This window comes from Homo sapiens, chromosome 2, assembly GCF_000001405.40.
Source record: "Homo sapiens chromosome 2, GRCh38.p14 Primary Assembly".
In the NCBI taxonomy this organism is placed as follows: domain Eukaryota; kingdom Metazoa; phylum Chordata; class Mammalia; order Primates; family Hominidae; genus Homo; species Homo sapiens.
Genome location: NC_000002.12, coordinates 110031676 through 110042261, shown reverse-complemented (window position 1 = coordinate 110042261; position 10586 = coordinate 110031676). Strand labels below are relative to the sequence as shown.

At 56.9% G+C, this 10586-nt stretch overlaps 3 long non-coding RNA genes across 4 annotated transcripts, besides 3 other annotated features; all 3 read left to right on the top strand.

The window, feature by feature from the left end:
* The first annotated feature begins 823 nt into the window (after positions 1 to 823).
* On the top strand, positions 824 to 2627 carry LOC105373549 (uncharacterized). Its single transcript, XR_923182.1, has 3 exons — positions 824 to 1368; positions 1856 to 2080; positions 2543 to 2627. It is a non-coding gene; the product is annotated as an uncharacterized LOC105373549 (long non-coding RNA).
* Positions 1457 to 2179: an enhancer, noted in NCBI's record as "H3K4me1 hESC enhancer chr2:110797660-110798382 (GRCh37/hg19 assembly coordinates)". NCBI's record gives its function as "activates a minimal SCP1, AML or CMV promoter by ChIP-STARR-seq in primed H9 embryonic stem cells {active_cell/tissue: H9 hESC(primed)}" and the evidence as "EXISTENCE:reporter gene assay evidence [ECO:0000049][PMID:30033119]".
* A 20-nt stretch (positions 2628 to 2647) lies between the features above and the next one.
* On the top strand, positions 2648 to 6423 carry LOC105373548 (uncharacterized). 2 transcript variants are annotated; one of them, XR_923180.1, is made up of 3 exons: positions 2648 to 2683; positions 4682 to 4805; positions 6350 to 6423. It is a non-coding gene; the product is annotated as an uncharacterized LOC105373548 (long non-coding RNA). The 2 variants fall into 2 exon arrangements; XR_923181.2 differs by lacking the exon at positions 6350 to 6423 and adding an exon at positions 5223 to 5400.
* Positions 5921 to 6758: an enhancer, noted in NCBI's record as "H3K4me1 hESC enhancer chr2:110793081-110793918 (GRCh37/hg19 assembly coordinates)". NCBI's record gives its function as "activates a minimal SCP1, AML or CMV promoter by ChIP-STARR-seq in naive H9 embryonic stem cells {active_cell/tissue: H9 hESC(naive)}" and the evidence as "EXISTENCE:reporter gene assay evidence [ECO:0000049][PMID:30033119]".
* On the top strand, positions 7062 to 9501 carry LOC124906058 (uncharacterized). The gene is made up of 4 exons (XR_007087177.1): positions 7062 to 7180; positions 8208 to 8409; positions 9158 to 9274; positions 9361 to 9501. It is a non-coding gene; the product is annotated as an uncharacterized LOC124906058 (long non-coding RNA).
* Positions 9791 to 10439: an enhancer, noted in NCBI's record as "H3K4me1 hESC enhancer chr2:110789400-110790048 (GRCh37/hg19 assembly coordinates)". NCBI's record gives its function as "activates a minimal SCP1, AML or CMV promoter by ChIP-STARR-seq in naive H9 embryonic stem cells {active_cell/tissue: H9 hESC(naive)}" and the evidence as "EXISTENCE:reporter gene assay evidence [ECO:0000049][PMID:30033119]".

The window sequence follows — 10586 nt, the reverse complement described above, 5'->3', positions numbered from 1 at the left end:
GCCACGCCATGCCGGAAACTTCAAGGACAGGAGAGAGGTGCCCCACCAGGACACCAGCTTCTGCTCAGCAGGTCAGTTCTGGATTCTGCCTTCTGCTTGCAAGACAGGAAGAGTGGCCTTGACTCTGACCTTGCTGATTGGTGCTTATCAAACGCTAACAGAAGCTGATGTTAAGGGACTGACAGCAGCCCGGGCAGCGAGTCCAGGTACCAGTCAACGTGTGAGCCCCAGGAAAGCCACACCCGGGGTGCAGCCAGGCCTCATCAGGCTCCAGCTCTGGGAACTCCATGTTCTCTGGGTTCAGCTGGGGAAATCAGGACCTGTATAGAAAGTTCCAAGGCAGCCTGGATTGTTCAACCCAGAGCTGCCAGTAAAGACAGAGGGTTGACGGGACTGGGAATCACCAGTGCTGAGGACAGGAGAAAAAGAAATGAGAAGTTTTAAAGTAAAAAGTGAGAGTGTCAGTAGGTACATAGGAGGCCTTTCTTGGGAGCGGACAAAAGACTGGGCCTAGAAAATGCCAGGCCAGGGATGGCCCAGATCTGCTATGCACAGGCTGTGTGATATCAGCAAGGTGCTTCACCTCTCTGAGCCTCATCTTTACACTAGAGGCAGTGATACCCCTTTCCTGGTAACCAGGGATGGTGGCAGCTCCTGCACTCCCAGGCCCATGGGAGGGTCAGGTGTGGCCAAGGCCTGTAGAGCTTTGGTTGCTTTTCTTGTCACTGCTTCCCTTGAGAGAGAAAACTGCTGTCTCCCCAGTTCTCAGCCTGTGTCTTCGGTGCCCTGTGGGACACTTCTGCCCCAACAGAGCCACCCGCCCCATCCCATGCCAGCCGGGTACATTTGGCCCCCGCTTAGGCCAGGATGAAGCCACAGACTGCACCCCTTGCCCAGCAGGCAGGGCCTGTACCCAGGCTGGGCTGACACACCCCGACGCAGCGTGCTCACCGGGGTAAGTGCCCGCCATTTCTCAATGATGAGTGTCCCGATGGGGGCCAGAGCCATCCCCCTAACACCCTTAGAGAATCAGTCCCAGGTCAAGGCCAGACTTCTCCCAGCCTCTGACCCTCTCAGGGTTCGGAGAGGGCTGCGCCTTCAGATCAAAGCTCTGTCTCAGCCAGCCCAGGGCTCCAGGACTTGCCCCCGAGCACCGAGGCCCAGCACTGTCTCAGGTCCATCCATGCTCAGGAGGCGTCTAGGGAGCTGTCTTCCTGGCTTTGTCCATGGAGAAAGTAGCTCAGAGAGGCCAGGTTACCATGCAGACTCACAGAGCAGGCCAGGGGCACGGCGGGATCTGGCCATGACTCTCCAAGATGCCGGGCTCTGCGTGGTGGGCACCAGGTGCCAACTCCCCTGCTGCTGTAGGTACGTGTGCCCTTCAGGCTCCTCCAGTCCCCACGCTCCCTCCCATGCCTGCCCTCCTGGGACCTTTAGCAACCGCAATGACCTCTCCCACCCATCGCAGTGTGAGGTCTGCCCCGAGGGACTAGCCTGTCCTGGGGGTAAGTGAGGAGGGGGACAGTGGCCTCACCACCTCAGGACCCTGCCTTTGGGTGAAAAACCAGTTCCACCCCGGGACAGGGAGACCAGGACAATAGACCCTGACCCATAGCCCCTTTGTTCCTCACAAAGAGCATTGCCCACCCCTCCATGGGGAGCCCAAAGGATTGGGCAATTAAAAGCAGCCTGAGTCCCGACCCTGCTGCCTCGGGTACGGTGGCCTTGGAGGTTGTTAATCCAGATACCCCCTGCCCCGAGGCAAGGCCCCAGCCCGTGTCTCTGACGCCTGCCAGGGGTTGTGGCTGGAGAGGGGCAGCAGCCCTTCAGGTCTAGTTCAGTACTGTGTTTGCAGGAACCGGGGGCCCAGACTGGCCCCCCATCCCCTGCTCAGCTGGCCATTATTGCCCTCCCGGCACCAAAAAGCCAACCCAGTTCCAGTGTCCTCCCGGCATCTGGAGTAACCAGACTGGATTGACCATGAGCGAGGAGTGTATGCCCTGCCCCAGGGGCTGGTTCTGTGTCAGTGGAGCTCAGGTGCCCTCAGGGACATGCAGGGCCGGGCATTACTGCCCATGAGGTGAGTGGGGCCAGACTCTGCCCTGGCAAGGTTGCAGGCAAGTGCCAGGAGAGGGTGCCATGGGCTGGCCTGTGCACCTCCTCTGGAGCAGATGCAGCAGGAGAAGCCTGGTGTGCAACGGGAGAGGGGAAGCTTCCATTTCAGGACCACCTTCCTGAGAGGAGGGCTGGGAGGAGCAGGAAACTCGGGGAGGCTGTGGGGACAGAAGCCACCAGCAGGCTGGGGGCTGGAAGGGATTGATAAGCCTCAGAGCCTCCTAAATGGGGGTTCCCAGGTGTCTCAGCCCAAAGCACAGCTTCCTAAAGACTGTGTCCTGGAGAGTGACACCCCCTCCCCCTGCCCCATCCCCAGTGGCCTCCCCTGGGAACTGTCTCCAGGCAGCAGGTGAGGAGCTGGTGTGCCAGTGATGACACAGGTCCGACCCCTCTTTCTTCCTCTGAACCCCTCTTCTCTCTGAAACAGGGGCGAAGTGGAGGACACAGTTCCCCTGCCCAGCAGGCACCTGCAGCTCCCAGGCAGGCAACGGCCAGCTCGAGGACTGTCTGCCCTACCCCCCGGGGCCTTCCGCCCCAGTGGGGTCCCTGAGCCGGAGCTCTGCCAACGGTAAGGAGGCCGCATGTGTGGTTGTTATTGAGGCCAAATCGCCACGTTCATTGTGTGCCTGCTGGAGCCCAGCACTGGACACTGGTACCAAGGGAGAGGAGGGCCCAGCCTGCCCTCAGGACCTGGCCACCTTGTTGAAACAGGACACACAGGAACAGGATGAGCTGGACCCAGGGCTATAGGTGCCCCAGGTCAGGGGCACCCCTACAGCCAGGAAGTTGAACAAGAGAGAATCACTCTGGGTTACAGTCAGTGGAGAAGCCATCAGCTTGTGGTGACTCGATTCAGCCTCAAAAGATGGGCAGAGTGCCGGGCATGATGGCTTGTATCTGTACTGACTGGAGTAACTGGCCTGGATTGACCATGAGCGAGGAGTGTGTGCTGAGGCAGGAAGATTACTTGGGGCCAGGAGTTTGAGACCAGCCTGGGCAACATGGTGAAACCCCGTCTCTAAAAAAATATAAGAATTAGCCAGGCATGGTAGCCTGTAGTCCCAGCTACTCAGGAAGCTGAGACGGGAAGATCGCTTGAGCCCAAAAGTTCCAGGATGCAGTGAGCTATGATCATGCCATGGTACCCCAGCCTGGGCTACAGAGCAAGAACTCATCTCTAAAATTATAAAAAATTTATTTAAAAGATGAGCAGAGTCCAAGGAGGGATGTGAAGGTATCCCTGCTGAAGCAGCCGCGTACCAGCCCACCATCCTGAAAAAAGAAGCTGTTTCAGAGCTGCCCACTCTAAAGGCCAAACCCCTCCTAAAGCTAATTGCTGCAGAGATCTCAGCAGAGATCATTTGGCCCAAGCTGTGGGATTATCTGTGGATTTTACTGTTTTATTAAAATGTGCCTTTTATTCCTCTGGTCAAAAAGAAAACTTAGGGTTTGTCTTACTAAAAACAAGCAATACACATTCTTCATGTAAAAAGTGGAAATGACATTGATCAAAACAAATTTCAGATCAAATGCAGATTTCAATTTTAAAAAGCCAAAATCACAAAATCACAAAGCATAAATAGATATTTATAAAACTTGAGAGAATGTGGAAAATCTAAGCCTGGGCAACAAAAGTGAAACTCCGTCTCAAAAAAAAAAAAAAAAAAAAATGAGCCAACCTCCCTGGCAGCTTACAAGCAAGGGTTTATAGAGGCAGGGGTAAATTTCAGGAGAGAAATTTACCCTTATACAGGCAAAATTGTAAATCAAGACATGAAGGTTACACATTGGCCTAAAAGGGCAGTCTGTCTTGAAGCAGGCACTTCCGCGTCATAGGTGGAGTCAAAGATTCCCCGTTTGGTTAAGGAATTGAAGCTGTGTCTAAACTCTTAGGGTCAGCAGAAAGGGATGTTAAGGTCTGGCCTGCGGGCGTGCCAGGAGCCCCCAGGCAGAAATTTAGAACAAAGCACTGAGGCAGTCAGAGTTCAGTCCTCACTCCCCCCTTATCTGAGGTCTGCCTGCCAGTGGGTCCATTTGCTGGGGGTCCTGGTTTCTGAAAAGCAATCAGGGACATATGCTAAGATGGCATCTTTAGCTTCCAGAGAAAACCAAGCCTCTCGTGGCTCTGACTTCCTTGGCCACTGTTCAAAGCTGCAGTTACCTTCTTGCTTATCGGGCTGCTCATTTACTCCTCAGGGCTAGTGAGGTGCTGGACTTTCCCTTGAAGGAACTCAAGATTTGTCTTTATTTCCATGCTGGGAGGGTCAGGGGTAGCAGGATCCTAAGAGGGGCCCCGGTGCATCTCACAGACAACTTTAGAAAGAAGCACAATTAGCCTGGTTTTTAAATCTCCTGCCCTGCCTTCTCCAGCTGAGGCCACACCCTCAGCCTCCCCTACAGGGCCTCCTAAGGCTCAGGCGGGCTGGGAGTTCTGCCCTTACACTCTGAGGGGAAGCTGGGGGACAGTGGAGGGATCTGGCCTTGGAGAAATGGCGACTTCATGGGTGGGGACTCTTCCCCAGGAAGGCCGTGGGCATCCACCTTTAGCTCTCTCCACCCCCTCTAGAGGAACGTACTGCCAAGGTCCAGCAGCCAAGCTGGCTGTGGCCTGTGTGCCTCGCCCTGCCAGTCACCACTGCCCTGAGAGAGGCACCACCACGCCACGACCATGCAGCACTGGCAGCTTCTCTGTAAGTGTTCCCAGAACAGACTCCATCCTCAGAGGGCTCTGAAGAGTGGGGGATCCTAAAATTGGGAGGTGCCTGCCCCAGCCTGCCCCGATGGTGACTCCCCAGAGCTCCGCTCAGGCAAGGGAAACACGCAACTGCAGGGAGAATCCTTTGCTCCAATGTGGGCTTGGGAGCTGGGCAGGCCTCCAGGTGCTTCTTCTAGGGCAGAGGGGGCAGGCCTGGGCCCTTGCTCCATGGGCCAGCCTGGCGCCTATTGGGGAAGGGGAAGGGGAAGAAGCAGAGGGAGGGAGATGGGGGAACAGAGTCATTGCCCTGAGCCCACTGGGGTAGGTGTCTGCATTTAGTTCCCTCTACAGGGAGCTATGGGTGATGAAGGCAGCACACTTCCATTTTACCTCCTCTTCCCCCACCACCCAGGTAAGCAATGAGCAGGAGCCTGGGACATTGCATGACATTGGCCTTCCAGACCCAGAGGAGCTATCGGCACCCTCCTCCCCACTGCCTGCCATGTGCACTCAAGTGTCAGGAAGGGGGTGCCATTGCACGAGTCCCTCACTGCTCTGCTAATGCCATCTTTGCAGGCTTCTTCAGTGAAGCTTGGTGATTATTCCAAGAAATGATGTCAAGCTTAGGGAAGCCACAGGTGGCCCTGGGGAGTTGTGCAGTCAAAGAATGTGCAGTTTATTCAGTATCTCGCAGCTTTCCACACAGGGCAACTGTGGCCAGTCACTGCAGCCCAAAGAGCCCAAATTGTGTTTCGGACACAAAATCTTCCCCTCCTTCTCAGGAAGCACTGTCATCGCCCCTTACAGTTACCTGGAGCTCTACCATCTACAGCAAATTGTGTTTCAGACACAATCTTTCCCTCCTTCTCAGGAAGCACCATCATCCCCCCTTGCAGTTACCTGGAGCTCTACCATCTACACAGCACTCACTGTGTCAGCTCAGGGATACCCACACCCCCAGCATAGCTTTCCCCTTCAAGATGAGGAGGGGTCTGCAGATGGCACAGCTGGGAGGCAAACCCAGCAGGGCTCCAGCACCAATACTCACCTGGCATGGCAGCCCCCAACCTTCTGCCCTGAGTCTTCCCAGTGAGCCCAGGCCTCTATGTGGACACCTCGAGAGCGCTGGCAGGCATGGGGAGGTGGCAGGGTGGGTGACCCAGAACCCACAGTATGGCCCACTGTGCAGCCATCGTGACGGCCCTGCCCAGACCACTCATGAGTGCAGCCCTGCAGGGCCACATTGGCCTCTCCTGACTCATGCAGAGGCCTCCCGGAGGATCAGTAGCCCTGAGAAGACAGAAGGAGCCTCCAGCCTGGGCCCTCCTCCTCCGGGCATTGCCAATCCTGCAGCCATGTGCTTGGAGAGCTCCCTGGTTCTGTGGCATCCGCCTTCCTCATAGGGGAGGTACGCACTGAGCCAGGCCTGGCCAGCAGCAGCCCCACATACCTTTCCTCAGTACCTGTCGTGCACCAGGCCCACCTATGCATTCCAGGTGTGGATGGAACCTCGACCTTATTGTCCACACCCCTTTCCAGGGTCCAGGTCATCTCTGGTGCCAGGAGTGCTCAGGAGGAAAACTCTGCAACCAGACAAAGCTGCTTGGCCCTGGGCCATTACGTGTCGCCCTGGGCACTACTGCCCAGCCCAGGGCCTGCTATCCATCCCCTGCCCCATGGTGAGCCTCTCCCCTGGGATCCCCAGCTGGTGTTTCTGGTTCGGCATGGGAAGGCTCTGGAGCCATTGGCCCCATACTGGTGGTTGAGAGGGACAACGTCCCTTCAGCATGACATGGCCATACCCAGCCCCTGCCTCCCCCACCACTCAGATAAGGGCTGGGCTGCTCACATTCCCACGGCTAGTTTCCCTACGGTGCCAGACCAGAAGGTCACGAGGGATGGAGTAACCCAGGCCCAGGGAGCAGGAGGTGGGGAGGAGGAGGGAGGGGGGAGGGAGCTGGGGAGTTAGGTGCAGGTGGTACTCCCCGTGGGGGCAGCCTCCCCTCTGTTTTGCAGCCAGACTTCAATCTATGGAAACCTCAATCCCACACACTAGTGGATGGGTCCTGAGGGCTCTGTCCTTGGTGAGGACAGATTGTCTTCTCCCTGGTTCTGTGTGCCCAAGGAGAGAGGGTGGAGGGCCCTGCTCTGCTTCCTCCCTGGCCCCACTGTGGCTTCCAGAACCTTGACCCTGGTGACATCCCTCTATCTGCCCAGGGCACTTTCCGAAAGGCCCCTGGGGCCGCCCGTGTGGAATACTGCCAGCCATGCCACCTGGGGGCATTCTGTGGCAAAGCTGGCCTGGCCGAGCCCCAGGGCCTGTGCCACCCTGGGCATCACTGCGGGCCTGGCTCCAACACCTCGTCCCTGGTGAGTGCAGGCCCTATCGGGCCTTCCCAGGGCGGGGGTCAGGGACACCACAGGGCAAAGGCCCAGCACCTGCCTGCCCCGTGAGGGGCAGAGTAGCCCTGAGAAGATAGAATGAAATCACTGCAGAGCGGGTAGAACTGCAGCCATTATACATGGCCCGTGAAAACATGTAACCAGTGAGGAAGGGCCCAAGAGGCTAGCATCCAGTACCCACTGCAAAAGGCACCAAATACAAATATGTCTTCAGCCAGGAAAAGGCTCAGTGGGCTGACATTAAGGGCACATGAAGCAATGCCACTTCAGTACCCGACGCATCTACTAACTACTGATAGTAAAGCAAGTGCTGAAGGCCTCATAAGACGTCCGTGTGGGAGAGTCCATGCTCTCATGCTCTCCGCTGCAGCCTGGGCCCAGGGGCTGCTGCAGTCTTGCAATACCTAACGAGAGCCTAGGGCAGCTTGGAATTATTGGAATTGATCCAGTAATTCCAATGTGGGAAAGAATCTGAAACGGGAAAAAAGTCATTTGTGAAAAAACGTTCAAAGCAACAACAAAACACCATAAAGGCCCAATAATAAAAAAAAATCTAGACAGAGATATAGCTTATCAACCTAGAGGGATACTAGGTAAGCATTAATAATTGTTGTAAGTACATCGTTTGATGCATAGATGATTGATAGATGATAGATAATTGATTGATTATTTGAGAAATGATAAATATAGATTGATTAATTGATAGATGATAGTTGCACCTCATCACAATTAAAGCTGTGTGTTGGTGATATTAGCAGAGAGTTGGAATTGGTTAGGTTATTTAACAACTTAACAATCAAAATTTACTTTCTTTTTCTGAAGTTAAATTCCTGAGTGTTTCCCAGAGGGTTCCTGGCGGTGCAGAACAGGTGTGGCTGGGCTGAGCTGGGCAGGCTTCCCTAGAGAGGGGCTCAGGGAGGAAGAGGAGGGAAGCCAGTGGAGAGAACCCACTTGCTCTCAGCTTGTAAACCTCAACAGACCCCTCTTCCTCTAGAAGGGACTCCCCTTTGGTGACCTCTGTCCCCCGGGTCATTTCTGCCCTGCTGGCACCAAGGACCCCAGGCAGTGGCTCTGCCCGGCTGGCACCTGGAATGCAGAGAGAGGGGCACAGGACATAAGCTGGTGCCTGCCTCGCCCACCTGGGCTCTTCTGTGCCACCACAGGCCAGGCTGCCCCTGGGGGCCCGTATGCACCAGGTAAGGACTCCTACATCCCTCTGAGCATGAAGCAGAGCACGGCTGGGACCTGCCACCCTGGGAGCCTCAGTGCCTGGGGGAGAGGCACGCTGGAGAGAGCCCAGGGCAGGTGTGCCTGGGCGGTGTGGCCAGGCTTGTGTGAATGAGGAGGAGGCAGGCTGGAGACTGGGCAGAGGCGGATACTGAACATGGTGGGGCGGGGTCTCAGACGGCAGCATCCAGCTGCTCCCAAGCTGCTCACATCCTCCCAGCTTGAGGCCCGGGTGTTGCGGGAGGCGAAGGGGATGGGGGAAGTGTCCTGGAGGGTGAGGGGAGGGTTCTTTCTGCTTGGCCCAGGGAGGCCTGCCACCTCTCCAGAGAGCACTGCCCATCTGTCCCTGGGACAACACTTGGACCAGCCTCTGAGAAATGGGCTGAAGGTTCCTCAAGAGCCTCTGCGCTTGGGGTCCCCATGCACAGCAGGCTATCCATGGGTTTAGTGAGGGGCGAAGTTTGGGTCCAGACAGACGAGAGGCGGGCACCGTCCTCCACTATGCTGCTGCCCACACTGCCACCTTCACTCGGCCATGTGGGAGACACAGATTTGAAGATGTGGATTTGAGAGGGTCCTACGTTATGAGCTTACTGGGGCACCTCCAGAGCCCGATCCCACCACAGCAGTCACGGGTACAGCCGGAGCCTCGTGCATGGGAAGGCGGGAGCCAGGCCTCTCCAGAGAGCAGGCCGGCCTGGTGCTTCCCTCCTCCAGGTTTCCACTGCCCAGGAGGGGCGCAGACCCCGACACCCCTTGGTGGGCTGTGGGGACACTTCGAGGGCTCCCTGGCGGCCACACCTCGGCAAGACGGGGAGCACAGCTACGGCACAGGTACTCGGCCTGCTCAGAAAGCACAGCAGGACACCTACACACTGGACGGGCGAGGCCTTGGGATGACTGAGGTCACCTTTTTCCAGGCTGAGAGACCCACCAGGGGAGGACCTGCTCCCCAGGTCATTACTGCCCCCAGGGCACTAGCCACCTCCCTAGGCCCTGTCCTCCAGGCGTGTCCAGTCCCTGGGAGGACCGAAGCCAGGCCCACAGCTGCCCGCCATGTCCTGCAGGTGAGGAGGGGGGGCAAGGCTGTGCGGTGGGGCCCAAGGGACTCAGCTCCTGGAAAACCTCTTTTGCTGTCCCAGGGCCCAGAGGTCTGTGATGCGAGGTGGTAGAGGGCAGGGCCTTTGGGCGGAGTCAGAACCCACTTCCTGACTGTGGGAAATCCCTTAACTCGGGAATCCTGAGTTCTCCCCTCAGATGAGAGCTGAGATGAGCATTAAATAAGACTGAGCACAGGAAGGGCAGTAAAGAAACACCTGTCCTGGAGGAGGCTGCAGAGCAGAATAAGCCTGAGGAGAGGCAGGGCTGGACGTGGACCCCACCGCCACGATGGCCCCTCCCGCAGGGCAGGCGAGCGGCAGGGACGGAGGGCATAACAGAGAAAGGTAGGATCCAGTCTCTGCAGGGTCTCTGACATGCAGGAAATGTCCCATCTCTGCTGGTGCCTGGCCAAGGCTTCCACGCTGCCCAAAAGATGAGAGCAGCATCAGGACAGCTTTCCTGGAGAAGTTAAGGGCTGAGCTAAAGAAGGAGGATCATAAAAAGGTCAATTGGAGGGTGCTGGGCTGGAGGAGCTTTAGGAGCAGGACTTCCCACATGTCCTTGCAGCCACAAGAGGCAGCCTGGACCTGTGTTCCCCGAGGCCCTTGAGTGGCAGGCCCAGCCTTCAACCCTGGCATAGTCCCAGCATGACCTTGGTGGCCCCCAGCCCACAGGCAGGGCTCTGAGGACTATGTTGTGGGATTAACATCCACCCAGCAAGCCAAGTGGCACTTTGGCTTCACAGGCAGTGGCTCCAGGACAGGGTCCAGGGACACCTCAGGGTGGAGAGGCTAATAAAACCACCCCTGGCCTGAACCCCAGCCCCACCCTCCCTCTCCCTGAGACAGCTCATGAGGTGAGGTGACCTCTCCCCCTACCGAGTCACCTGAGGGCTGGTGGTTGTGGAGATAACTTTCATGCATGCTGTGAGGCCACCAGTGCTTTCACCTGAGCTCCTCCACCTTCTTTTTGCACCTTTGGCCACCTGTGTGGGGAGGGTGAGGTGTCGTCTTCCACGGGTGTCCCCACCCTCCCATATAAGACA